This window comes from Homo sapiens, chromosome 14 (assembly GCF_000001405.40).
Source record: "Homo sapiens chromosome 14, GRCh38.p14 Primary Assembly".
In the NCBI taxonomy this organism is placed as follows: domain Eukaryota; kingdom Metazoa; phylum Chordata; class Mammalia; order Primates; family Hominidae; genus Homo; species Homo sapiens.
Genome location: NC_000014.9, coordinates 76,883,117 through 76,909,245, shown reverse-complemented (window position 1 = coordinate 76,909,245; position 26,129 = coordinate 76,883,117). Strand labels below are relative to the sequence as shown.

Below are 26,129 nucleotides of genomic sequence, written 5' to 3'. Positions count from 1 at the left end.
TTGAGAAGGTGTGGCTGGGAGATTGGCTACGAATGCATGGAGATTACAAAACAGGGAGATGGGTCTCCATGTGTGGTCTCTGTGATTCATCTGAGGGTCCGAAGTTCGAGCTCACCTCCTGGGGAGGAAGTGAGCATTGAAAGGCCTGGTGAATTCTGATCAACATGGGATCCTCAACCCAAATCATCTCTAGATGCTGTCTTCATTGGGCTCCTCCTCCAAGGCAGGATGTGATGTCAAGAGAGGAGCCCAGAGGGAAGGCAGCTGCTTCCTCCTTCTCACCACAGGACCACAGCTTCTCTCTTTTCATGTGTGCATGGCCACACTGGCCCACCTCACATGCTCTCCACACAAGCCACCTGCCTCCTGCTACACCCATGCCATTCATGTTCCCTTGCCACTGGAACACTGGCCCATAGAAAGCACCCATTATGGTCGGGCACGGTGGCTCACACCTGTAATCCCAGCACTTTGGGAGGCCAAGGTAGGTGGATCATGAGGTCAGGAGATCGAGACCATCCTGGCTAACCTGGTGAAACCCCGTTTCTACTAAAAATACAAAAAATTAGCCGGGCATGGTGGCGGGTGCCTGTAGTCCCAGCTACTTGGGAGGCTGAGGCAGGAGAATGGCTTGAACCTGGGAGGCGGAGCTTGCAGTGAGCCGAGATCGCGCTACTGCACTCCAGCCTGGGCGACAGAGCGAGACTCCGTATCAAAAAAAAAAAAAAAAAAAAAGAAAGCACCCATTATAGGCCAGCTATTGTTATTTATTTATTTATTTATTTTTGAGACAGAGTCTCACTTTGTTGCCCAGGCTGGAGTGCAGTGGTGCCATCTCGGCTCACTGCAACCTCCGCCTCCCGGATTCACACCATTCTCCTGCCTCAGCCTCCCAAGTAGCTGGGACTACAGGCGCCCGCCACCACGCCCGGCTAATTTTTTTTTTTTTTGTATTTTTAGTAGAGACGGGGTTTCACTGTGTTAGCCAAGACGGTCTCGATCTCCTGACCTCGTGATCCGCCCGCCTCAGCCTCCCAAAGTGCTGGGATTCCAGGCGTGAGCCACAGCCTGCTATTATTTAAATCAGTGGTCCTCAGGGTTGAATCTCCCCTAGGAAGAATTTTGGAAATGTGTGTGCCCGCATGAGCGTTGGTGGTGGTGGAAATGTTGCCTTCTCATGCAGTCATGCCTAAACATTTACATACGGAATGCAGTCATTCCTGACCATTTACATATTGAAATACCTGTTGTTTCATTTTAATATTTTTCCTTTATGATATAGTTATAATAATAATGATTAAAATATATATATATATATATATATGTATATGTATGTATATATTTTTTTTAGATGGAGTTTCACTCTTGTTGCCCAGGCTGGAGTACAATGGGGCCACCTCAGCTCACTGCAACCTCCACTTCATGGGTTCAAGTGATTCTCCTTCCTCAGCCTCCCGAGTAGCTGGGATTACAGGTGCCCACCACCACACCCGGTTAATTTTTTGTATTTTTAGTAGAGATGGGGTTTCACCATGTTGGCTAGGCTGGTCTCGAACTCCTGAACTTAGGTGATCCACCCACCTCGGCCTCCCAAAGTGCTGGGATTATAGGCGTGAGCCACCGCGCCTGGCCGATTAAAAATATTATGTCAGTAGGTAGGTTATATTAACACATTTACTTTCAGGTTGCTGTTACAAAATATTTAAAAATCAATTTTAAAGGGAATGTCATTGGGTCTCAAGGGATTGAGACCCACAGTTCTAGATGGCTGGACTTATATTGCCACTCTTTTTATTTTATTTATTTATTTATTTTGAGACCAAATCTCGCTCCGTCACCCAGGCTAGAGTGCAGCGGTGCAGTCTTGGCACACCGCAACCTCCACCTCCTGGGTTCAAGTGATTCTTGTGCCTCAGCCACCCGAGTAGCTGGGACTTCAGGCACACACCATCATGCCTGGCTAATTTTTTTTTTTTTTTTTTTTTTAGTAGAGACGGGGTTTTGCCATATTGGCCAGGATGGTTTTGAACTCCTGGCCTCAAGTGATCTGCCTGCCTCGGCCTCCCAAAGTGCTGGGATTACAGGTGTGAGCCACTGCAACTGGCCCACTCTTATTTTTAAGCAGGGCACCTTCCCCTCTGAACTTGGCACACACACACACACACACACACACATTTAAGTCCCTGTCACCAGCTACCTGCACCTTCTCTGTGCATATCTAGGACACATCTGGTCCAATTCTGTCCCCTCCCTACTCTCACCTGCCCCCAGCATTGCAAGGACAGGCCCAGACTGGTAGAACTCAATCACGTGTGCACGCAGAGAACCAGCCAGGGTACCCAGCCTCTCCTGCTGGCTGTCAGGTCTAGGAAAAAGATGATCAAGTGTGGTGGCTCATGCCTATAATCCCAGTACTTTGGGAGGCTGAGGCAGGAGGATTGCTTGAGCCCAGGAGGTCAAGACTACAGTGAGCCGTGACTGCACCACTGCACTCTAGCTTGGGGGACAGAGTGAGATTCTGTTTCAAAAAAAGAAAAAAAAAAAAAAAAGGCCTGGCACAGTGGCTCACTCCTGTATTCCCAGCACTTTGGGAGGCTGAGATGGGTGGATCACGAGGTTAGGAGTTCAAGACCAGCCTGGCCAACATGGTGAAACTCTGTCTCTACTAAAACTACAAAAACTAGCCAGGCACGGTGGCAGGCGCCTATAATCCCAGCTACTTGGGAGGCTGAGGCAGTAGAATTGCTTGAACCTGGGCGGCAGAGGTTGCAGTGAGCTGAGATGGTACCACTGCACTCCAGCCTGGGTGACAGAGGGAGATTCTGTCTCAAAAAAAAAAAAAAAAAAAAAAAAAAGATACAAATGAAAAAGGAAAAAAGATGGATGTGTGCCATGTGCGGTGGCTCACGCCTGTAATCCCAGCACTTTGGGAGGCTAAGGTAGACGGATCACTTGATTTCAGGAGTTCGAGACCAGCCTGACCAACATGGTGAAACCTTGTCTCTACTAAAAATAAAAAATTAGCTGGGTGTAGCTGTAGTCCCAGCTATTTCGGAGGCTGAGGCAGGAGAATCACTTGAACCCGGGAGGCAGAGGTTGCAGTGAGCTGAGATCACGTGCCATTGCACTCCAGCCTGGGCAACAAGGGTGAAACCCCATCTCAGAAAAAAAAAAAAAAAAGAAAAGAAAAGAAAAAGAAAGATGGATATGTTCCTAGGAAAGGCATTGCTTCTCACCACACCTTCCTACCTGCTCAGCCATCACCTCACAGTGCCAGCCATCATCCCCTCATCACCCCCTACCAAAACACCGCCTCCCCACCCCCACTCCCCACACAACTGAAACACAGCCTGGACTCTTCCAAGTCAGGTTTGTCATTGTTACAAAATGATCATTGTAAGAAAAAGGAACAAACCCATAGAGTAGAACTCACACCTACTCCTATTATCCAGAGAAAGCCCCTGCTGATATTCTGAGTTTTTTCCTCGGAAATCATACCTCTGTATTTTGTGTGTGTTTTTTTATTATTATTATTTTTTGAGATGGAGTCTCGCTCTGTTGCCCAGGCTGGAGTGCAGTGGTGCGATCTTGACTGCAACCTCCACTTCTCCAGTTCAAGAGATTCTCCTGTCTTCAGCCTCCCAAGTAGCTGGGATTACAGGCGTGCATACCATGCCCTGCTAATTTTGTATTTTTAGTAGAGATGGTGTTTCACCGTGTTGGCCAGGCTGCTCTCGAACTCTTGACCTCAGGTGATCCACCCACCTTGGCCTCCCAAAGTGCAGGGATTACAGGCAGGAGCCACTGTGCTCGGCCTGTATTTTATGTTTTAATAATCTCTCTGCACATGCTGTTTTGTACCTTGCTTTTTTTTTTTTTTCTGCTCAATTACATATCTTGAACATCTTTCCAGGCCATTAACTATTCTTCTACCAAGAAATGTCAATGGCTGCCCAGTATTCCATAAATAAATCAGTGTTTATTTAACCAGCCTACTGATTGCTAGACATTTTGTACCTCATTCTTGACTTTGTTTGAATCTCGGCTCTGCACTTAATAGCTGCGTGCTAACAGGAAAGTCACTTCCGCTTTCTGAGCCTCCGTTTGCTCATCTGCCCGCTGAGCAGCCTAATGCCCCAGTGCCCTTAAGGCATTGCTTCAAAGATCTGAGTTGGTGGATGATGCAGCGCTTGGCACGGTGCCGGTGACACATCCCCCTAAGTGTTTTCTCAGTGTGAGTCTTCATCGGCTTCTCTGCTGTGCCTTCTTCAGCTTGTTTGCGAGTTCCTGGTTCATCCTGACCACCCTGAAAGGCCGCCCCTGGGACTTTGCATAACTCATTCTGTCTCCTGGTGTGTAAGTCTCTCTCCTGGTTCCCAGCAGGAGTGTAGGAATGAGTGCTTGTCCTGGACTCTGGGCTGGGAACTAGCACCTAGTGGGGACTGGACTAGGATGACTTGGGCCAATTTCTTTTCAGGCTGAGCTTGGATTTCAGATCAGATCTCTTAGGACAGAGCCCTTGGGAATTCCCATGGTGTGAATGTCCTGGGCCAGCGGGAATGGCTGCTCGCTCATCTCTTCCAAGGTGAGTGTGAAGGTCTGCCCAGGCCCCTGGGTGCATGCCAAGCTGTGTGCTCCCACCTTGATGTCCAGAGATGTAACCCTCCCAGACGGTGAGTATGCTCCAGGAGCCTCCCACACCTGCCACGGGCCACTCTTTCTGGGGCTGTCTCTGTGTGAGGGTCTGGCCGTGGCTGCCCTAGACCCACTCAGGAAGACTTGCTTCTTCAGCCAAGTCTCCCTTCTGTCCAGCCACTGGTGTGACTCATCACAGAGCCCATTTCTACTGCAAAAAGAAATGCTCAGACCTACGGCCCTGGTTACAAAAGAGGCCACTCAGCTGAGGATCTGCTTCCAACAACTGGAATGCCGACCCTGAATAACCCCAAGTAGAAAACGCGTGTATAGAGCTTGTGTGCGCAAGTACACACACACGCATGTCCTCACGTACCCTCCCACGCGCTCTCACTCGCTCTCCAGCATGCCCATCCTTATCCGCTCACACATTCACACACATGTATGCACGCACGCAACTACCCTGTGCTGTGCCAGACAGCAGTTACTCTGGCTCAGCTTATGTTTTTCGTCATGCTGTTCTGAGAAAAAAGAGAATATGTTTGGAGAGACCCCAGCTGCCAGACAGCAGTGCTTTTCTTCCCCCCCTAATTTTGGCCCCATAAGTCAGATCTCAATTTTCTTTACCCCTTGAGCAGTGAAAGAGAAAGGGGCACACACCACAAACCAGAAATGAGACAGAAGCCTGGTGCAGTGGTGTGCACCTGCAGTCCCGAATACTCAGGAGGCCGAGGCTGGAGGATTGCTTGAGGCCAGGAGTTTGAGTCCAGTCTGGACAACATAGCGAGACCTTGTCTCTAAAAAAAAAACTTAAAAAAAAAAAAAACACATGAGACAGAGACCTCTACCCTGTGACACCCTGGTTATCTGATTGCACCTGGTGCACACTCTTCAGTGGGATACAGAGATTCTTACTTCCTCTTGACCTACAAGATAAGCATATAGTAGGTCAGAGTGCTGGAGGGAGGTGGAGAGGGGTCAGGAGAGAGAAGACTCGGGACTGGCTTTGGGAAGGAAGCAGGAATGGAGATGGGCCTGGAAGGATTGAGAAAATCTCATCAGAAGAGGCCAGGTGCAATGGCTCACACCTGTTATCCTAACACTTTGGGAGGCCAAGGTGGGAAGATTGCTTGAGGCCAGGAGTTTGAGACCAGCCTGGGCAACATGGTGAGACTCCCTGTCTACATAAAATTTAAAAAAATGATGTGGGCGTGGTGGCCCACACCTACAGTCTCAGCTACTTGAGAGGTTGGGAGGGGAGGATCACTTGAGCCCAGGAAGTAGAGGCTGCAGTGAGCTGTGATTGTGCCAAGACACTTTAGCCTGGGTGACAGCACAAGACTTTGTCTGAAAAAAAAAAAAAGGCTTAACAATCCATCCCTTTCTAAGTCCAAAACCAGTACAGAATCAGCCTAGAAACCTTTATAATCTAATTTAACTTAACAAATATTCAAATATTTACTGAAGGTCTAACATGTGCCAGGCACTGTCAAAAGATGCCAAGAGAAGAAAAACATTCCTTCTTCGAACCTTCCCCAGGGAAGCGCTGTCACCCTTTGGGCATACACTTCCCACGCTTTCTGAGACAGGGTCTTTGCAGATGGGCTGGTCAGCACCATCCTGCAGCTTCTTGGGGACTATTCGTCTGCGTGGCAGAAGTGCAAGAGAGCTGTCAGGAGTTGGAGGACTTGTAACTGCTGCTTACTCTCTTCCTACAGCACAGTGGTTCACAATCTGGGAGATTTTGTCCTTCAAGGACATGTGGCAATATCTGAGACATTTTTGGTTGACATAAATAGAGGAGGTGCTACTGGTAACCCCCCTGCAAGGCAAAGGACAGCCCCCACAGTGAAGAGGGAGCTGGCCCCAAGTGTCATCAGGGCTGGGGCCAAGAAGCACTGCTGTAGCATATTAGTTCTGGTTGCTGTGATGGTGATTCCTTAATAGCATCTCTCACCATTTCTTTCTTTTTTTTTGGAGGCGGCGGGACAGAGTTTCAAAAAGGCAACGTCTGCCTCCTGGGTTCAAGCAATTCTCCTGCCTCAGCCTCCTGAGTAGCTGGGATTACAGGCGCCTGCTGCCACGCCGGCTAATTTTTGCATTTTTAGTAGAGACAGGGTTTCACCATGTTGGCCAGGCTGGTCTTGAACTCCTGACCTCAGGTAATCCACCCACCTCAGCCTCCCAAAGTGCTGGGATTATAGGCGTGAGCCACTGTGCCCAGCCATCTCTCCCCATTTCTTTATTTTATTTTATTTTTTTGAAATGGAGTCCCACTCTGTTGCCCAGGCTGGAGTGCAGTGGTATGATCTTGGCTCACTGCAGCCTCTGCCTCCTGGGTTCAAGCGATTGTCCTGCCTCAGCCTCCTGAGTAGCTGGGACTACAGGTGCCTGCCACCACGCCCGGCTAATTTTTGTATTTTTAGTAGAGATGGAGTTTCGCCAAGTTAGCCAGGCTGGTCTCGAACTCCTGACCTCAGGTGATCTGCCCGCGTTGGCCTCCCAAAGTGCTGGGATTACAGGTGTGAGCCACCTCGCCCAGCCATCTCTCCCCATTTCTAATGCACGAATCCAATCCATCATGGCCTGGGAAACTAGTTACTTAAGCTTGCTAAGACTGCTTCTAAAAGAAGAATAAAGAGGTACAGAATCCAGCACCATAGACTACCCCATGAGTCAAATGCATGAGCTTTGTGATCCTGACTGAGGTTTGACTAGGGCTTAGGAACTAGACTCATGACTCAGTGGGTCTACCAAGGTGGGTGGTGTCAGTGGCAGGGATTCTGGGCCTTCAAGAGAGGTGTTCACGCACAAAGAACAGATCCTGCCCTAGGGCATTAATCAGAACTCTCTGGTACCCAAAGGGCAGCTTCCTCCCTTGGTTGGACCATGGCCCACTCCTGCGGTTTGTGCCTTTTCTATCTGGGCATTGAATCCTGGCATCTTTGGCTTCTGCTCCTCACTGTTTCAATTCCTGGCCATACCCCATGCTTTGTGCCACCCCATGATTTGGTTTCCATGTTCCATCTTGCCCTCCTGCCTCCTCCTGGCCCCTGCCCTACAGCCAGACAGATGGAACAATAGGCCCCCTTTCCTCCTTCTGGATTTTCTACAGTGTTCCGCATAAACAGGGTGGCCACACTCGTGGCCTCTTTGTATGGCTTTACCATATTTGGTTTGGGAACACATCATGTATGTAATGTGCCAGCACTCTGTTCTTGGCTCGGGCTGGCTCATTCCAAGTTTTATAGGACTTCTTTGGTTGCAAGTGATGGAAATCAACTCTGGCTGGGCTAAGCAAAACAGGAATCTTTTGGAAAGACCCCAGAGGCATCTCAGGAATTCCAGGGCAGAGATGCCACTGGGCCTCAGGGATTGACTAAAACCAGGAACAGGGCACTGTGGGAGCACAGAAAGCCCTCCCTCTCCTTTCTGCCCTCTGCCTCCTGCTTCTTCCCCACATCTGCTTTCTGGGATGCTCGGAACTTGGGGTAGAAAATATCCAGTGAAAATAACAGTGGCTGGGCTTACATGTCTTCCATTCAGGGGAGCCGTCAGCCTGGGCTGGAAACTCTCGGTCCTGATTGAAAATTTCTGGGGGGAAAGATTTCTATGGCCGGTGGGCAAACAAAATACTAGGTATCCATGGTGACATTTACACTGATGGCCAAGAGAGGACACTAAAAGAGAGGGAAAGCTTCTGTTTTGGGTAATGAGCTTTGAAAGGCTGGGCGGGGTTGAAATGAAATCAGACACTCAGTAGTGCAAGTCTAAGATGTGGAGGGCTTGGCTTAATTCCACTCAATCTAACACACTTTTAGGAGAAATGACTATAGCTCCAATCCCCAAGGAGCTCCCCCTCTAATAAGGGACTAAGACAGACAAAAAACTACAGTACCAAGGTGGGCTGTCCAGAATACTGCCACAGACAGTGCCCTGTGCACCAGGGCAAGGGGTGGGGAACTCTGCCAGGTCAGGTTAGCCCAGGAAGGGCAACACTAGTTGGGTGACATTTGAGCTGAGCCTCCGAGGATGGAAAAAACAGCTGGGCGGCAAAGCGAGTGGGAAGGACATACCTGGAGCTCCCGGGAAGCCTCCTGGGTCTTTGGCGACTGCAAATGCAACATCGTTGGGAGGATTTCTTCTTTCCACTTTTCTCATGGTCCTTTCTCTTTTCAGCCCCGTTTTGGTTTCCTACCATGTCATCACAAACTTAGTAGCTAAAACAACACAAACTTATTATCTTATAGTTCTGAAGGTTAGACGTCCAAAATGAGTCTTATGGGGCTAAAATCAAAGGGGAGAGTCTGTTTAGCCAGGGGATAATCCGTTTCCTTGCCTTTTCCAGATTCTAGAGGCCGCCTGCATTCCTTGGCTTGTGGCCCCTACTTCCATCTTCAAAGCTCATCACTCCACCTCTGCTTCCATTGTCCCATCTCCTTCTTCTACTTTTGACCTTCTAGTCTCCAGAGTTTCGCTCTTGTTGCCCAGGCTAGAGTGCAATGGCACGATCTCAGCTCACCGCAACCTCTGCCTCCCAGGTTCAAGTGATTCTCCTGCCTCAGCCTCCCGAGTAGCTGGGATTACAGGCATGTGCCACCACACCCTGTTAATTTTGTATTTTTAGTAGAGACGAGGTTTCTCTATGTTGGTCAGGCTGGTCTTGAACTCCCTACCTCAGGTGAAATGCCTGTCTCAGCCTCCCAAAGTGCTGGGATTACAGGAGTGAGCCACCGCCCAGCCTTCCTCTTATAAAGGCCCTTGTGATTACATTGAGCTCACCTGGATGATGGGGGAGAATCTCCCCAGCTCAAGGTCCTTGACTTAATTGCAACAGCAAAGTCCTTTTGCCTCATAGGGTAATGGATTCACAGGTGCCGGGGATAAGGGTGTAGATTTCTTCTGGGTGGCAGGCATTGTTTGGCCTACCATAGCCTCCTTCACCGCCCTCCTCACTCTTGTTCTAGCTGCAGGCAAAGCCACCCATCTGATGGGATAGCCTGGGGAGCACACAGCACTCCTGCAGGGCGTGGCAGGGGGCACAGCTCACCTGTGCTGGTGGAGGCAGGATGTACAGCTGGGGCTCTACTTCCAGCTGTCCTGGATTAAGCAGACAGAGCAGGCCTTCTCCTGCCGGCAGGTTCAGGTGGGTCCTTGCTCTCTGGGTTCTAAGTTCTTTAGCTGCAATTGGAAGATTTGTCAGAGTTGTGCAAGGACTAGATTCGAGGAAGGCAGTCGGAGACCCTGCCAATTCTGCATTCAGCTCTTCAGTAATAAAGCCTGACTTTCTGTGCAGGTCCCTACTTAGCTCCTTCTGTCTGTTTTCAACAGGCCAAGAGCCCAGAGAGGAGGAGAAGTGAGTGTGGGGTTCCCTTTACCTGCCACAATCTGGGCTCACAAGGCTATCAAAGGCAGCTATCTAGGCAGTGTGAGTAGGAAGTACAGTGCCCGGAATAAGGACAGTAAATAGCCCATTGTCCTCCACTCTGCAAAACACAAGGGAGTTTTGTGTTCCATCCTGGGGCTGCATTTAGAAAGTGACATTAGAGGCCGGGCGCGGTGGCTCATGCCTATAATTCCTGAACTTTGGGAGGCCGAGGCAGGTGGATCACCTGAGGTCAGGAGTTCGAGACCAGCCTGGCCAACCTGATGAAATCCCATCTTTATTAAAAATACAGCTCCCTCTCTCTCCCCCTCCCCTCCCCCTCCCCCTCTCCCTCTCCCTGTCCCTGTCCCTGTCCCCGGTCTCCCTCTGATGCCACCAAAGTTGTGAAAGCCGAGGCTGGACTGTACTGCCGCCATCTTGGCTCACTGCAACCTCCCTGCCTGATTCTCCTGCCTCAGCCTGCAGAGTGCCTGGGATTGCAGGCGTGCGCCGCCACACCTGACTGGTTTTTGCATTTTTTGGTGGAGACGGGGTTCCGCCGTGTTGGCCGGGCTGGTCTCCAGCTCCTGACGGCGAGTGATCTGCCTGCCTCGGCCTCCCGAGGTGCCGGGATTGCAGACGGAGTCTGGCTCACTCAGTGCTCAATGTTGCCCAGGCTGGAGTGCAGTGGCGTGATCTCGGCTCACTACAACCTCCACCTCCCAGCCGCCTGCCTTGGCCTCCCAAAGTGCGGAGATTGCAGCCTCTGCCCGGCCACCACCCCGTCTGGGAAGTGAGGAGCGTCTCTGCCTGGCTGCCCATCGTCTGGGATGTGAGGAGCCCCTCTGCCCGGCTGCCCAGTCTGGGAAGTGAGGAGCGCCTCTTCCCGGCCGCCATCCCGTCTAGGAAGTGAGGCGTGTCTCTGCCCGGCCGCCCATCGTCTGAGATGTGGGGAGCACCTCTGCCCCGCTGCCTCGTCTGGGATGTGAGGAGCGCCTCTACCCGGCCGCCACCCCATCTGGGAGGTGAGGAGCGTCTCTGCCCGGCCGCCCCGTCTGCGAAGTGAGGAGCCCCTCCGCCCGGCAGCCGCCCCGTCCGGGAGGTGGGGGCCAGCCCCCGCCCCGCCAGCCGCCCTGTCCGGGAGGGAGGTGTGGGGGTCAGCCCCCGCCCGGCCAGCCGCCCCGTCCGGGAGGGAGGTGGGGGGCGCCTCCGCCCGGCCACTGCCCCGTCTGGGAGGTGGGGGGCGCCTCTGCCCGGCCGCCACCCCGTCTGGGAGGTGTACCCAACAGCTCATTGAGAACGGGCCATGATGACGATGGCGGTTTTGTCGAATAGAAAAGGGGGAAATGTGGGGAAAAGAAAGAGAGATCAGATTGTTACTGTGTCTGTGTAGAAAGAAGTAGACATGGGAGACTCCATTTTGTTCTGTACTAAGAAAAATTCTTCTGCCTTGGGATGCTGTTAATCTATAACCCTACCCCCAACCCTGTGCTCTCTGAAACCTGTGCTGTGTCCACTCAGGGTTAAATGGATTAAGGGCGGTGCAAGATGTGCTTTGTTAAACAGATGCTTGAAGGCAGCAGGCTCGTTAAGAGTCATCACCACTCCCTAATCTCAAGTACCCAGGGACACAAACACTGCGGAAGGCCGGGAGGCCGCAGGGTCCTCTGTCTAGGAAAACCAGAGACCCTTGTTCACATGTTTATCTGCTGACCTTCCCTCCACTATTGTCCTATGACCCTGCCAAATCCCCCTCTCCGAGAAACACCCAAGAATGATCAATAAATACTAAAAAAAATAAAATAAAATAAAAATTAAAAAAAATAAAAATAAAAATACAAAAAATTAGCTGGGCATGGTGGCGCGTGCCTGTAATCCCAGCTATTCAGGAGGCTGAGACAGGAGAAGAATCGCTTGAAAGCGGGAGGCAGAGGTTGCAGTGAGCCAACATCTCACCACTGCACTCCAGCCTGGGCAACAAGAGCAAAACTCCATCTCAAAACAAACAACAACAACAACAACAAAAAACAGGCTGGGCGAGGTGGCTCATGCCTGTAATCCCAGCACTTTGGGAGGCTGAGGTGGGTGGATTACGTGAGGTCAGAAGTTCGAGACCAGCCTGACCAACATGGAGAAACAGTGTCTCTACTAAAAATACAAAAATTAGCCAGGCGTAGTGGTGGACGCCTGTAGTCCCAGCTACTCGGGAGGCTGAGGCAGGAGAATTGCTTGAACCCGGGAGGCGGAGGTTGCAGTGAGCCGAGATCATGCCACTGCACTTTAGCCTGGGCAACAAAAGCGAAACTCTGTCTCAAAAAAAATAAAAATAAAAATAAAACCAGAAAGAGGCCTGGCGCAGTGGCTCACATCTGTAATCCCAGCACTTTGGGAGGCCGAGGTGGGCAGATCACAAGGTCAGGAGTTTGAGACCAGCCTGGCCAACATAGTGAAACCTTGTCTCTACTAAAAATACAAAAATTAGCCAGGTGTGGTGTCGTGCACCTGTAGTCCCAGCTACTCGGGAGGCTGAGGCAGGAGAATCACTTGAACCCGGGAGGCAGAGGTTGCAGTGAGCCGAGATCACGCCACTGCACTCCAGCCTGAGTGACAGAGTGAGACTCTGTCTCAAAACAAACAAACAAACAAACAAAAAAAACCCAGAAAGAGACATTAGAACAGAACCTGGGGGCATGTCCAGGAGGAAAGGACTAGAAACATGTCACATGATGAGCAATTACAGGAAGTAAGAGAAGAATTAAAATGTTAATTCATTTGTTGCCTGTCTAAAGTGTTAAGGCATTTTGCGCAGAGGTGCTCTAATCATCCCAGAAGCCCTGGAGAAAAGTGCATTTATCTTCATTAAACAGATGAGCAGACAGGAGCTCAAATAACTCAAGAATATCTCCTAAAGTCACACAGATAAGGAAGTGGTGAGCCTGGACTTGAAGTCGGGGGTCTGAAACCCCCTTCCCCAAGTGAAGGCTTCAGCCTTCCTCCAATGCTGCCTCTCCATAAATGAATTTTGTCTGAAAAAGCTTCTGAAGCAACTGTTAGTTGCTTACCCAATGCCCATTTTCCCTTTCTTCTTTATCAATAGCATCATCATTTTATTTGAGATGTGTCCAGATTTAAACAAATAAAAGATACACTATACTCCTTTGCAACTTGGAGAGACCACGGGTGACACTTCTGGCCTATATGACATGAGCAGAAGTCTGCTGGGTATTTCTGGGAATTATTTCCTGTTGCTTTCCCTTTTTTCCTTCCTGCTTGGGATGTGGATTGGAGTTTGAAGGTGGAGCACCCACTCCATAACTGCAAGGCAACCATGAGGATGAAAGCTACCTATTAAGGATGGTAGGCCGGGCATGGTGGTTCACACCTGTAATCCCAGCACTTTGGGAGGCTGAGGCAGGCAGATCACTGAGGTCAAGAGTTCGAGACCAGCCTGGCCAACATGGTGAAACCTAGTCTCTACTAAAAATACAAAAATTAGCTGGATGTGGTATCGTGTGCTTGTAATCCCAGCTACTTGGGAGGCAGAGGCTGGAGAATCGCTTGAACCTGAGAGGCAGAGGTTGCAGTGAGCCAAGATCGTGCCACTACACTCCAGCCTGGGCGACGGGGCAAGACTCAGTCTCAAAATTAAATAAATAAATATAAATTTAAAAAGTGACTTAAAAGATGGTAGAGCAGAAAGAGAAAAATAAATGAAGACACTCAGGACCTCATAGAGCTGTCACACCAGCTCCAGCCTGCCCAGCCCCAGCCTTATTGTAAGGTGAGAAATATCTATCTCTGCCTTTGGTTAAGCCATGGTCGTATGGTTTCTGCTTCATGCGGCCAAACTCGCTCCTTACTAGTAAAAAGGAACATGACGGCGCTTCTTAAATACTTGAAGGACTGTCTTTGGAAGTGGGTTTGCGCTTTTCCTATGTTGCCCTGGAGAGCAGATCTAGGGAGCGTGGAAGGTGCAGAGAAACAGAAACTGTCTCAGTCAGACAGAAGAAGAACTTTCTAGCTGTGCTCTTGTTTCTTGGCTCAATGGAAGAATTGACAATGAGTCAGGGGCCGTCCTCACCCATGGGAGAGTCTGGGCAGAGACTTGATGGCTCTAAGTGGGGCCAGATTAAGAGACTATGTTTGCATCAGTTAAGGACTGAACTCGATGCCATTTACATATCTGAGGACGAGAGCCGCTCAGGTATATCATCACATGACCCTCCTAATTAGGAGTATTTGCAGGATTGTGCAGTAGGCCTTTTCCTGTATGTACCTGTGAGGCAATAAGCTACCTTGATTAAAAAAAAAAAAGGTCCCAGCATCAGGTTAGTCGCGGAAGAACACAGAGGTTGGGAGATCATGGGTGATTAGATAACCTGGTTATTCTGACTTTGTGTTTTGCCTTTTCCTTGGGATCTCCCACTTTTACCACGTTGTCTCCAGGAAGGTGTATCACTCAAGAATCTCAGTTATAAGTGGCATAAAATCCCCAGAAGGGAATTTGTTGACTCAAGTAACTAAAACATTGAGAGGTTCGCAGATGATGTCATCAGGAACCTCTTTCCTTACATTTCTCTGGGCTGCTTTTCCCTGAGTAGCCTTCATTCTCAGGTAGTTTTTTACTAGGTGGTAGCCAGATGAGTATCAGCAACTTCATACTTGCATCGGGGGCTCATAGCAACCCCAGCAGTGAGCTAGCACCTTTCCTCTAATAGGTTCAGCAAAAACCCTGGAGAGGGCTGTCATTGGTCCAGCCCAGGTCACATGCCCACTTCTGACCAATCATGATAGTCAAGGATACACAGTGCTTTCATTGGCTAGGCCTGGGTGCTCCTTGATGAAGCTTGGCAGAGGGGTCAGCCCCACATGGGCTGAGAATGCCGGGGGGACGGAGTCCTTTCAGAAAGAGGAATTAGACGCTGGATAGGCTAAAACGACAGACTGGATTCTACCATGGGGTGCTGCTCTCCTTTTCCCACACTGACTGAAGGCTTAGCACCTCACCTTGGTGCCCGTTTACATGATCAAGACTATCTGGGTCTTTCCAAGACTGTTCTAAATCTAAAGGAGAAAAGGGGAACCAATCACAGACTCTTTAGGAAACATAAACCCAGTGTGACTTATCAAGTAAACCTTATGACATGGATAAAAAATTCAACTCGGGCTCAGATACTGCTTTGCAGAAACCTTAGCTGACTTCCTTGGCTCTTAGTTCTTCACCTGCCACTACATGGAGGGCAGTGATGTAGTTTCCCCCAAGTACAGGAGCTAGACCTTTTTACACCTGGATCTTTTGTGACTCAGCAAAGAAGACTTCTGACTCTGTTTTCCACTTAAAACCTGCTCACTGGGTATGGAGACCACAACCTCTCTCTTCTCTTTGTGGAAAAGGACAGTGTTGTCTACATATGTTAGTCCTACTCCTTTAACTCTAGCCATTCTTTAAAATATTTTAAAAATTTGTTTTAATCAACGTAATAGGCATATGTATTTTATAAAATTAAATGTATGATACGACTTATAGTGAAACTTCCCTACCTCAATTTCTCCTCCTGAAATTGAAAAAACCATGTTTAACCTTTTAAGTTTTTTCTTATGCAATTTACCTCCAGATTTCTAAATAACATGCTTTTACCTCTATTTTATTTATAAAATTTAGATATTATCAATAGACTTTCTATAGTGGAATCTTAGGATCCAGCTCTCCTAAGCTGGGAGACCTGACCACACAACCTGTTTCCAAGCTCAACACACTTCCTTGACACCCATCCTCCTGTGACAGCTTTAGTTAAACCATTATTTAGTGTTTGCATTGTGTGTATATGTAAAACTGTTCACAGCTGACCTATTGTGTACTGTGATTGTATCTCCTCTCTTACACAATTTATCTTACTAATTTATCTCTATGGCCCGGTGGCTCAAGCCTGTAATCCCAGCACTTTGGGAGGCTGAGGTGGGTGGATCACCTGAGGTCAGGAGTTTGAGACCAGCCTAGCTAATATAGTGAAACCTCATCTCTACTAAAAATACAAAGAAATTAGCCAGGCATGGTGGCAGGCCCCTGTAGTCTCAGCTACTTGGGAGGCTGAGGTGGGAGAATCACTTGAACCCGGGAGGTGGAGGTTGCAGTAAGCAAGACTGCATGCACCACTGCACTCCAACTTGTGTGACAGAGAGAGACTCCATCTAAAAAAGAGAAAAACAATTTTGACCTCGTAATGCAACAGTATTTTTTTTTCTTTTGAGTGAGACCTCAATTTTTTTTTTTTTTTTTTTTTTTTTTTGTATTTTTAGTAGAGACGAGGTTTCACCATGTTGGCCAGGCTGATCTCAAACTTCTGACCTCAGGTGATCCACCTGCTTTGGCCTCCCAAACTGCTGGGATTACGGGTGTAAACCACTGCACCTGGCACAAGAGTTTTTGTTCTCTTTCTTAAAGACCTCCCTCCTGAAGACTTTCTTGCTTCAAATTGAACTTGTTGACTTGGCTGGCATCTTAGAGTTGTTTCTTTTCCATTACCCTGAGACTTCTTTCTCTCTCTCTTTGGTGGAACAAGTCTTTCATATCTTCCTGGGGAAGGGTGCATTAGAAGTAAAAATTTTGAAGCCTTGCATGTTTTTACTCTCCTCACATGCTGATTGATAGTTTGGCTGGATATAAAATTGCAGGTTAGACATAATTTTCTTTCAGAACTTTCAAAGTATTGTTCCATTGTCTTCTAGCTTTCAGCATCACTGTTGAGCAGTCTGATTTTATTTTAAATCCTAGTTTTGGGCCGGGCACAGTGGCTCATGCCTGTAATCCCAGCACTTTGGGAGGCCGAGGTGGGTGGATCACCTGAGGTCATGAGTTCGAGACCAGCCTGGCCAACATGGCGAAACCCCATCTGTGTTAAAAATACAAAAATTACGCCTATAATCCCAGCACTTTGGGAGGCTGAGGGGGGGTGGATTACTGGAGGTCAGGAGTTCAAGACCAACCTGGCCAACATGGTAAAACCCCATCTCTACTAAAAATACAAAATTAGCTGGATGTGGTGGCTTGCACCCGTAATCCCAGCTACTCGGGAAGCTGAGGCAGGAGAAACGCTTGAACCTGGGAGGCGGAGGTTGCAGTGAGCTGAAATTGCACCATTGCACTCCAGCCTGGGCAAGAAGAGCAAAAGTCCGTTAAAAAAACAAAATTAGCTCGGCGTGGTGGTGCATTCCTGTAATCCCAGCTACTGGGGAGGCTGAGGCAGGAGAATTGCTTGAACCCAGGAGGCAGAGGTTACAGCGAGCTGAGATCACGCCACTGCACTCCAGCCTGGGCACAGAGCAAGACTCTGTCTCAAAAAAAAAAAAAAAAAATCCTAGTTTTGCCTGGCACTGTGATGCCTATAATCCTAGCACCTTAGGAGTCTGAGGTAGGAGGATTGCTTGAGGCCAAGAGTTTGAGACCAGAGTGGTCAACATTAGCAAGATCCCTGTCTCCATTAAAATAAAAATAAAAATAACTAAAAAATAAATAAATAAAATTAGAAAAAAAATCTTAGGTTTTCTCTTCAGGGCTTGGCAGAATGCCTGGGACATGGTGACATTCAGCAAATCTTTGTTGAGTGAGTGAACACAGATACTTGCCACATCCAGAATGTTTGGTGAAGCTATTGTCATTGACATATTGACTCAGAATGTGTTGCTTTGCCGTTATGATTGTCTACCAGCAGTTCCTGTGTTCTGTGTGGTTTAGGGGGGAGCTGTTTTCATCCTAATCTTATTCTGGAGGCTCTCACCACTGGGGTCCAGGAAGTTCCAGTCTGATTAGTGCTGGCTCCACCCCCAAGCTGCTGCAGAAACCTACCATAATCCAAGATTTTCGGGGGCCTGTTGGTCAAGCATTGCCCACCACCCTTCTGTCTGCAGGTGGAGGCAGTTCAGACTGACCTTGGATGTCTGGGGTATTGCCTCCAAGGGCGTGTGCTCCAAAGGCTGCTCCTGCCAATTGGCCCTGGCCTATCACAGTTCCCTGCACCCCATAAGCCATCTCTCTAGTAACAACTTTTCAAGATGCCCCTCCTCTCCATTCCAGTGCTCCTGTCTTGGTTCAGACCATTACATTTCTCTCCTGGTACACTCCTGTAATCTAACTGGTCTCTCTGCCTATGGGCTAGTTAACCACCTTGCAGGGTTTTTTTGTTTGTTTGTTTGTTTGAGACAGTTTTGCTCTTGTTGCCCAGGCTGGAGTGCAATGGCGTGATCTCGGCTCACTGCAAACTCCACTTCCCGCGTTCAAGTGATTCTCCTGCCTCAGCCTCCCAAGTAGCTGGGATTACAGGCATGTGCCACCATGCCCAGCTAATTTTTGTGTTTTTAGTAGAGACAGGGTTTCACCATGTTAGTCAGACTGGTCTCAAACTCCTCACCTCAGGAGATCCACCCACCTCGGCCTCCCAAAGTGCTGGGATTACAGGCGTGAGCCCCACACCTGGCCTGCAGTTTTAAAATATATCTGCAGAACTTCAACAGGTTTCCCTCCCAAAGATGGAGGTTCATTCCTCTTTCCTTGAGTGGAGGCTAGACTTACTGACTCACTTCTAACAGATTGAATATGGCAGAAGTGATTGTATGTGATTGGGTCATATAGCACTGGGACTTCCCCCATGTTCCCTCTTGGATCACTGGCTCCAATGTTCGTTGCCATGTTGCAAGCAGCACCATGGAGAGGCCCATGGGGTGAGGAACTGAGGCCTTCTGTGAATGGCAGATGAGTGGGCCATGTTTGGAGGTTCTAGCAGGGGAGCACAGCCACTCACATACCCTTGACCAAAGAACAGCCCTCTATCGGGGAAGGTCGTCCTCTTCAACCTAGCGCACAGCTTCGGGAAGGACATATGTGGAGCAGTGAGAGAGGAAGGGGACACCTGCCGCACCATCCAGATCAGCTGAATCAACCCTGGCAATCAATGGTGTGACAGATATCATAGCCGGATCGAAGTGGGCCATTTTAGAAGCACATCTGCTGGCCGAGTCAAGCCTTTAGACAGCTTGTCTGCAACCTCGTAGGAAGCCCTGAATGACAACCAAGCTGCTGCCAGATTCCTAACTTTCAGAAACCATGTGAAATAGTAAATATTCATTGTTTTAAGCTGCTAAGTTTTGAGATAATACACTATGTAGCAATAGATAACTAATATACCACTTTCCAAATTACCCTTCATATCACTGCCAAAGTAATCTTTCTTTTTCTTTTTCTTTTTCTTTTTTTTTTTTTTTTTTGAGACAAAGTCTCACTCTGTCACCCAAGCTGGAGTGCAGTGCCACAATCTCGGCTCACTGCATCTCCGCCTCCTGGGTTCAAGCGATTCTCCTGCCTCAGCCTCCCGAGTAGCTGGGGTTACAGGCACATGCCACCACCCCTGGCTAATTTTTTTGTATTTTTAGTAGAGACAGGGTTTCTCCATGTCGGTCAGGCTGGTCTCAAACTCCTGACCTTAGGTGATCCACCCACCTCGGCCTCCCAAAGTCCTGGGATTACAGGCATGAGCCACCGTGCCTGGCCAAAGTAATCTTTCTAAAATAAAAATCTGTTAGCAAGGTGCCTGTGGTCCCAGCTACTCGGGAGGCTGAGGTGGGAAGATCAATTGAGCCCAGGAATTCTGGGTTACAGTGAGCTAAAGAAAGAGAGAGAGAGAGAGAGAGAGAGAGAGAGAGAGAACGAAAGAAAAAGAGAAAATGAAAACCTGATCAAATAATTTTCCTTCTAGAATCCTTCTGTGGCTACCCATGACTTTCAAGATTAAGTCCTAACTCTTTTGCTTAGCACACAGGGCAAGAGAATGGCGTGAACCCGGGAGGCAGAGCTTGCAGTGAGCCAAGATTGCACCACTGCAGCCTGGGTGACAGAGAGAGACTCCGTCTCAAAAATAAAAAATAAAAAAATAATAATAATAATAAAGGAGAAGGATGGGTCTCTTTCCTTCGGCTCCCCTGGCGAGGAGATTCCTGGCTCTAGGGCTGACAGCCAACCAATACAGTGTTGTTAATGTATTGAAATACTTTCATTCTAGTTAGCAAACAGCCATCCCTGAGCCCCTTGAATACTCTTTCATCATCCTAGCCTGCTTTCCTTGGGACCCCAAGACTTCTTCTGAATCCAGCAAGTAAAAGAGCATCTCAGCGGACCTCCGGGATCCTAACGCAGTTGGAATGTCCATTCTGATTGCTGGGGCTGTGTTGCTGTGCAGGTTGTTAAAATTTGTGAATATCACCTCTGGCCAGACCCATTGCCTCAGTGTTGAGGAAAGACCATTTTGGGGGCAATTAGGGGCTCTGGGTTCGAGTCCTATCACCAACAGGCGGTGTAACATTGGATACATTGTCCTTTATGGGTCTGAGTTTCTTTACCTATAGAATGAGGGCGCTGGGCCAGGTGAGCTCTGAAGTTTTTGACAGAATCCTGTGATTCCATCCTCATCCTCCAAACAGGTGTGTACCTGTGTGTGTACCTATGTGCGTACATGAGTGTACATGTGTATATTCCCATGTTTCCTTGCTACTGAGCTTCGTTTCCAAGTGCAACAAAACCTGCTGTCCCCTATACCTTCAGGCTGGCCCAGGGCAAATGCCTGATAGTCTCTGAGCCATGGGGCCTGGAGCTTGTGCTCTCCTCCCTTCTGTGTCCCTTCCCCCTTCAATCCTGGACTGTTCACAGCTGCATAGACTCAGACCCTCTGTCTACCTAGCCAGAGCCCTGTTCGAGCCAGCTCTTCCCGCCGAGCTGTGCAGAGCTGTGCAGAACCGCTTCTGGCTCTGAACTGCTCCCTGCTCCTCCTTGTCTACCTTCCTCTTCCCAACCCCAGTCCCAGGTTCAGCCCTGCCAGTCCTCAGCTTGGGAGGCCCCCAGTGAGCACAGGTACTAGATGTTCCCAAAGTCCAAGCGTAGATGAGGGTGGGGCCGGAGTGGGCATGACCAACGTGGTGGAGCTGGCATCTGTCGCAGCTAGCGGGGAAAAGGTTTGAGGGGTAGGAAGCAGCCCCTCCCCCAGCGCTGGGAAATGAGTAGGGGTCTTCTAGGGTGCTGGCAGAGAGGGAACTTCTGGCTTCTACCCTGTTCCCTGAGTGAAGGACAAGCTCAGTCCTCCTGCCCTCACCTTCCCATCAGGAGCCCCAAGTCCTGCAGGCTTAGAGATGATGTGCTGTCTTCCAGGGAGAGGTGGCATGATTATATCTGCGCTCTATCAGGCTAGTAGCTCTGTGATTTTCACCCAGAAAGGAAGCCCCCAAAGATGAATCTTCTTGAACATGAGAGCTCCCCCTCACTCAGAGGCCACATACATGTGGTCTGTGGATTAGCTGCGTTACATGGGATGCTATAAAAGGCAGATTCTTGTGTCCCTAGAGTGAGAGGGGAAGGGCATATGTCTGCACTTTGAACACTCCCTCCTTTCCCTGATATTCTCATGCACATAAACGTTAGTGTGCATTAATTTGTGAATATCATCTCTGGGAGACCCATTGCCTCAGTGTTGAGGAAAGACCATTTTGGGGGAAATTAGGGGTTGTGGGTTCGAGTCCTATCACCAACAGGCAGTGTAACCTTGGATACATTGTCTACTAAGGGTCTCAGTTTATGCACATAAACTTTAGTGTGCATAAGAATTTCAGGAAAAGGAGGTTGTGTTAAAGTTAACACATTAACCTGTGTTCTAATGAGCTTTCCAATCTTCTTCCTAGGGACATCCAGATAGAAGTATCTTTCTTTGCAGCTATAATTTGGAATTCTTTAGAATTCTGTTAGAGCCTTCAGGATCTGTTACTTCCTGCTTCTCTCGGCTTGGAGTGGATCCCAGATGCTTGACTGTGCTGCCTTCAGGCTCTGGGCCCTTTCCCTTCACGGTGCCGGTCCTCCAGGGCCAGCTGGTTGTGGCTCCCTGATCGTGATGGAGATTCACAATGTCGATTCTTGATGTCATCTGCTGCAATCCCAGAGCAGTTGGTGGCTCATTGTCATAGCCTGGCTTCATTTCTGTGTTCTGTTGAAATTGCCTATCGATTGTTCTTCTAGAGATAATTGTGCGCGTCTTTAAGGAAGGTTTCCTAATCCTGGGTCTATGAAGGTCTGCGGATTGGCTGCAGAGGGCCAGCAAACCTTCTGAAATGGATACAGAACTGAGTGTGTGTGTGTGTGTGTGTGTGTGTGTGTGTGCGTGCATTGCATTTTTCTGGGGCAAGTTCATAGCTTTCCAAAGATTCTCAAAAGTGTCTGTGACCTAAAATATATTAAGAGACCCTTAAGGGCAAGGACTTTATCTTAGCTGTCTCTTTGTTCCCCATGGTACCACCAAGCGTGGTGCTTTGCATAAAACACATGTAAACATGATGTTCACTAAAGTTCATTGCTTCTGTTGAAGGGTGATGGTCTCCACTCCCTGGATACACCAGCCTGGGAGGTGCCTTCTCAATGGAAAGACAAAAAGAGCATTTTCTCGCTCCCTTTCTAACTCCGCTGCCACCATAGCTCCTGTGAAAAAGCTTGTGGCGAAGGGGGACAAAAAAAAGAAGAAGGTTCTGAAGTTCACTCTTGATTGCACCCACCCTGTAGAAGATGGAATCATGGATGCTGCCAATTTTGAGCAGTTTTTGCAAGAAAGGATCAAAGTGAATGGAAAAGCTGGGAACCTTGGTGGAGGGGTGGTGACCAACGAAAGGAGCAAGAGCAAGATCACTGTGACATCCAAGGTGACTTTCTCCAAAAGGTATTTGAAGTATCTCACCAAAAAAATTTGAAGAAAAATAATCTATGTGACTGGTTGCGCATACTTGCTAACAGCAAAGAGAGTTACGAATTACATTACTTCTAGATTAACCAGGATGAAGAAGAGGATTAAATTTCATTTATCTGGAATATTTTGTATGAGTTCTTGAATAAAACTTGGGAACTAAAAAAAAAAAAGAGCATTTTCTCTCTAAAAAAAAAAAATCCCTGTCACCTGGAGAGTCCACACATCACGCCCGGGCTCAGTAGTGGCACGTCCTCTCTCCCCAAGATGGGTGGGGAGGTGGAGTGGGTGGACAAGAAAGACACCATCCCCCATCCCTAGGCAGGTCTGAAATTGAATTCACCCCCAGGAGGAAGGAGAAATTTGCCAACCTAATAGCTTTCATTCTGTGTGAGCTTTTCCTGCTGCACGGGAAGGGGGACCCCTCTGGTTCTTAAAGGAGACAATGAATCTTCATTCATTTGTGCTCTGCAGTGTTTGTAGATTGGGTAGACCTGGAGGGGAGTCAAGGTTCTTTTAGATTCTTTCAACAATGGAAGGCAATTGGAATTGGGTCCTACTGAGTCAGCACACCTGTCATCTGTGTCTGCGGTGGCTGGACCAGCTGCTTAGGGAAAAACACGGGTCCAGAGCTCTTCCAAGGACACGTTTCCAGGTCCTTTCTAGCCTGAAAATACCTGAGTCTGAGAAACGAGCCTGGGATTGCCAATGGCAGTGGAAATGTGTTAGGCATGGGCAGTCTCTGCCGTGGAAGGGGTGGTATCCACTGGCTGAGCACTTCCTATGACCCAGGAGTGCCCGGCCCCTCCTCATCCTTACGGAAGCCTGTGTTCTCAGTCACCCTGGGAGGGGGCCATGAGTTCCTCCTTTACAGGTGAGAAAGCTGCCCTGAGTTGCCCGGGGTCCTGAGGCCAGGGAGTGGCAGAGCCGGGATCTGCCTCCAGAGCTCCACATCGCTCTGTGCCACTGCCACCCAGCCCAGAGGGCTCTGGGAAGCTGGCAGCAGAAGGCTTGGGCATTTGGGTTGTTGCCCTGTCACTTAGCTGTTGGCCTCAACTGACATTTCGGGCCTCAGTTTCCCTGTCTGTGAAAATGAGAGGATACGTGAAAGGACGGCAGCGACAGAGCAGCAGCCTCGGCAAACCTCCGGAAACCAGGAGGGGCTGTGGAAGTGCCAGGGGCCCAGGAGCCTGAGCTGGGAATGGGAAGGAGAAGGCAGAGGTGGGGCTGGGGATGAGGCCTGCCCAGGCCCAGTGTGGAAGTGCTGGGTTGGTCCACCCTTCCTGTCTCCCGCAGCCGGTCCCTTCAGTCTCCTCCCCCGCCCTGCCCTCTGGGCTTTCCTCTGGGCTGGCTTTTCACAAACCTCTGACGAGTGTGAGGAATGAAATTCTGACCTGAGCCCACCCTCTCCCGGCCTCCCGGGAACATGGGCGTTTGAATGGAAGGGATTCGCAGCCTGGGTCCTGGAGGTGCAAAGGAAGGCGTCTGGCTGGTCCAGCCCTCAGCCTCAGGGAACCAGGGTGCGGATGTTGAGTGTGCCCTGCCCAGGGACTGTGGCTCCAGCCTGGTCCGGCTCTGCCAGGGAAGGCAGACGGGGTGGTCTGGCTTCCGAGAGTCGGGCCAGTGTCTGGGCTGGGCCTCAGGCAGATCCCCTGGGCTGCATCTCCACTCTCCCTGCCTCCTACACAGGGTGGGGTTCCCTTCCCACCCTCTTCTGTGGAGCCCAGATCCTCTCCAGCCCTGGTCTGGGACCCGGGGCCCACTCCCCTCCTGCCAGCTTATGTCCCAGCACTGCTTGACCCTGGCCCAACTGTGAGGGACAGGAGAGCCACAAGAGCAGCCGGCCGCATCCAGGAGGTGGAAACCAGGAGTCAGCTGGGCCCATGCTGGAGGAGCAAGGCACCCGGCCGGCTGCCTGCTGGGGGAGTTTCTGAATTGCCTACTGGCTGAGACTGTCAAAGGGGTGTGAACCAGAGCAACTCCATATTGAATAGGAGCTGGGTAAAATGAGGCTGAGGCCTACTAGGCTGCATTCCCAGACGGTTAGGAATTCTAAGTCACAGGATGAGATAGGAGGTCAGCACAAGATACAGGTCATAAAGACCTTGCTGATAAAACAGTTTGCAGTAAAGACGCCGGCCAAAACCCACCAAAACTAAAATGGCGACAAGAGTGACTTCTGGTCGTCCTCACTGCTACACTCCCACCAGCTCCATGACAGTGTACAAATGCCATGGCAACGTCAGAAAGTTACCCTATATGGTCTAAAAAGGGGAGGCATGAATAATCCACCTTCTGTTTAGCATATTATCAAGAAATAACCATAAAAATGGGCAATCAGCAGCCCTCAGGGCTGCTCTGTCTATGGGGTGGCCATTCTTTATTCCTTTACTTTCTTAATCAACTTGCTTTTGCTTTGCACTGCGGAGTCCCCCTGAATTCTTTCTTGCGCGAGATCCAAGAACTCTCTCTTGGGGTCTGCATCGGGACCCCTTTTCTGTAATAAGACCAGAGGTCAGAGCGGGCCTGGGCTGGCCCTGCTGGCGGAGGCCCTGAAGAGCTTTATCCTGGCTCCAGGCCTCACCACCGCCACCCTCCGCCTCACACTCCCCTTGTGCCCACCTCAGACCTGCAGCCTCCTCCAACAGCGAGTTCTAGCTGAAGTGGCTCACCTGCTTGCCCACCACCCATGGAGGGCCTTGGCAGGGAGGGGCCTATCTTCCCCTGGCCCCTGCCCTTCTTTCTTCCTGACCCCACCTGCAGCCTGTGGAGGTCAGGGCTGTTTCCTCTCTCTCCTCTCTTCCGGAAACCCACGTGCCACCTGGCCAACCTCGAAAGGAGGCCCTGCTGGGTTCTTCATCTTTCTCCTTCCAGCTGTGGAGAGGTGGGGGTTGGGGCGGGGCAGAAGGATGGGTTGTCTGTTCCAACACCCTCCGATTCTGTTTCCCAGACAGGAAGGCCCTTTGTGTATAAATGTCCTCACCCTAGATGGGGTCTGCTAGATAATGTGTGGGCCATTTGTTAAAAAATTGTTAAGAATTTCAAGACGGAGACAACAGAGCATGAAGCCAAGTGGCCGATCCTTCCATGTGCGGAGCCTCGTGTGACCACACAGGTTGAACACCCACAAAACTGGCCCTGCCCCCGGAAAGCCCTAGGCCCTCCTCGGCCTCGCCGTCTCTCTCCTGGACCATAGATGCGGTGGAGACCTTGGCTGGAAGGCAAGTCTGAGCGGACCTCCACCCTACCCTCTCCTTCGCTTCTCACAGTCTCCTCAGTGGAAGTGTCTAATGCTCCATCTCGACCTTCTTCCCGGGGAAACTGAGGCAACGGGGAGGACTGGGGCCTCCCGATCCCATGCAGTCCCA

The 26,129-nt window shown here is 49.7% G+C and overlaps 2 pseudogenes, besides 6 other annotated features; one reads left to right on the top strand and one right to left on the bottom strand.

Annotated features, from left to right (window-relative positions):
* Nucleotides 334-393: an enhancer, noted in NCBI's record as "active region_8774". NCBI's record gives its function as "activates an Ori minimal core promoter by ATAC-STARR-seq in GM12878 lymphoblastoid cells {active_cell/tissue: GM12878}" and the evidence as "EXISTENCE:reporter gene assay evidence [ECO:0000049][PMID:35858748]".
* Nucleotides 3,633-4,832: an enhancer, noted in NCBI's record as "BRD4-independent group 4 enhancer chr14:77370757-77371956 (GRCh37/hg19 assembly coordinates)". NCBI's record gives its function as "activates an origin of replication core promoter dependent on BRD2, P300/CBP, MED14 and CDK7 cofactors, and independent of BRD4, by STARR-seq in HCT116 cells {active_cell/tissue: HCT116}" and the evidence as "EXISTENCE:reporter gene assay evidence [ECO:0000049][PMID:35650434]".
* Nucleotides 3,633-5,395: a biological region, named in NCBI's record as "BRD4-independent group 4 enhancer GRCh37_chr14:77370757-77371956".
* Nucleotides 4,304-4,353: an enhancer, noted in NCBI's record as "active region_8773". NCBI's record gives its function as "activates an Ori minimal core promoter by ATAC-STARR-seq in GM12878 lymphoblastoid cells {active_cell/tissue: GM12878}" and the evidence as "EXISTENCE:reporter gene assay evidence [ECO:0000049][PMID:35858748]".
* Nucleotides 4,658-5,395: an enhancer, noted in NCBI's record as "H3K27ac-H3K4me1 hESC enhancer chr14:77370194-77370931 (GRCh37/hg19 assembly coordinates)". NCBI's record gives its function as "activates a minimal SCP1, AML or CMV promoter by ChIP-STARR-seq in naive H9 embryonic stem cells {active_cell/tissue: H9 hESC(naive)}" and the evidence as "EXISTENCE:reporter gene assay evidence [ECO:0000049][PMID:30033119]".
* Nucleotides 18,633-18,983, bottom strand: RN7SKP17 (RN7SK pseudogene 17; annotated as a pseudogene).
* Nucleotides 22,474-22,926, top strand: RPL22P2 (ribosomal protein L22 pseudogene 2; annotated as a pseudogene).
* Nucleotides 24,199-25,016: an enhancer, noted in NCBI's record as "H3K27ac-H3K4me1 hESC enhancer chr14:77350573-77351390 (GRCh37/hg19 assembly coordinates)". NCBI's record gives its function as "activates a minimal SCP1, AML or CMV promoter by ChIP-STARR-seq in naive and primed H9 embryonic stem cells {active_cell/tissue: H9 hESC(naive and primed)}" and the evidence as "EXISTENCE:reporter gene assay evidence [ECO:0000049][PMID:30033119]".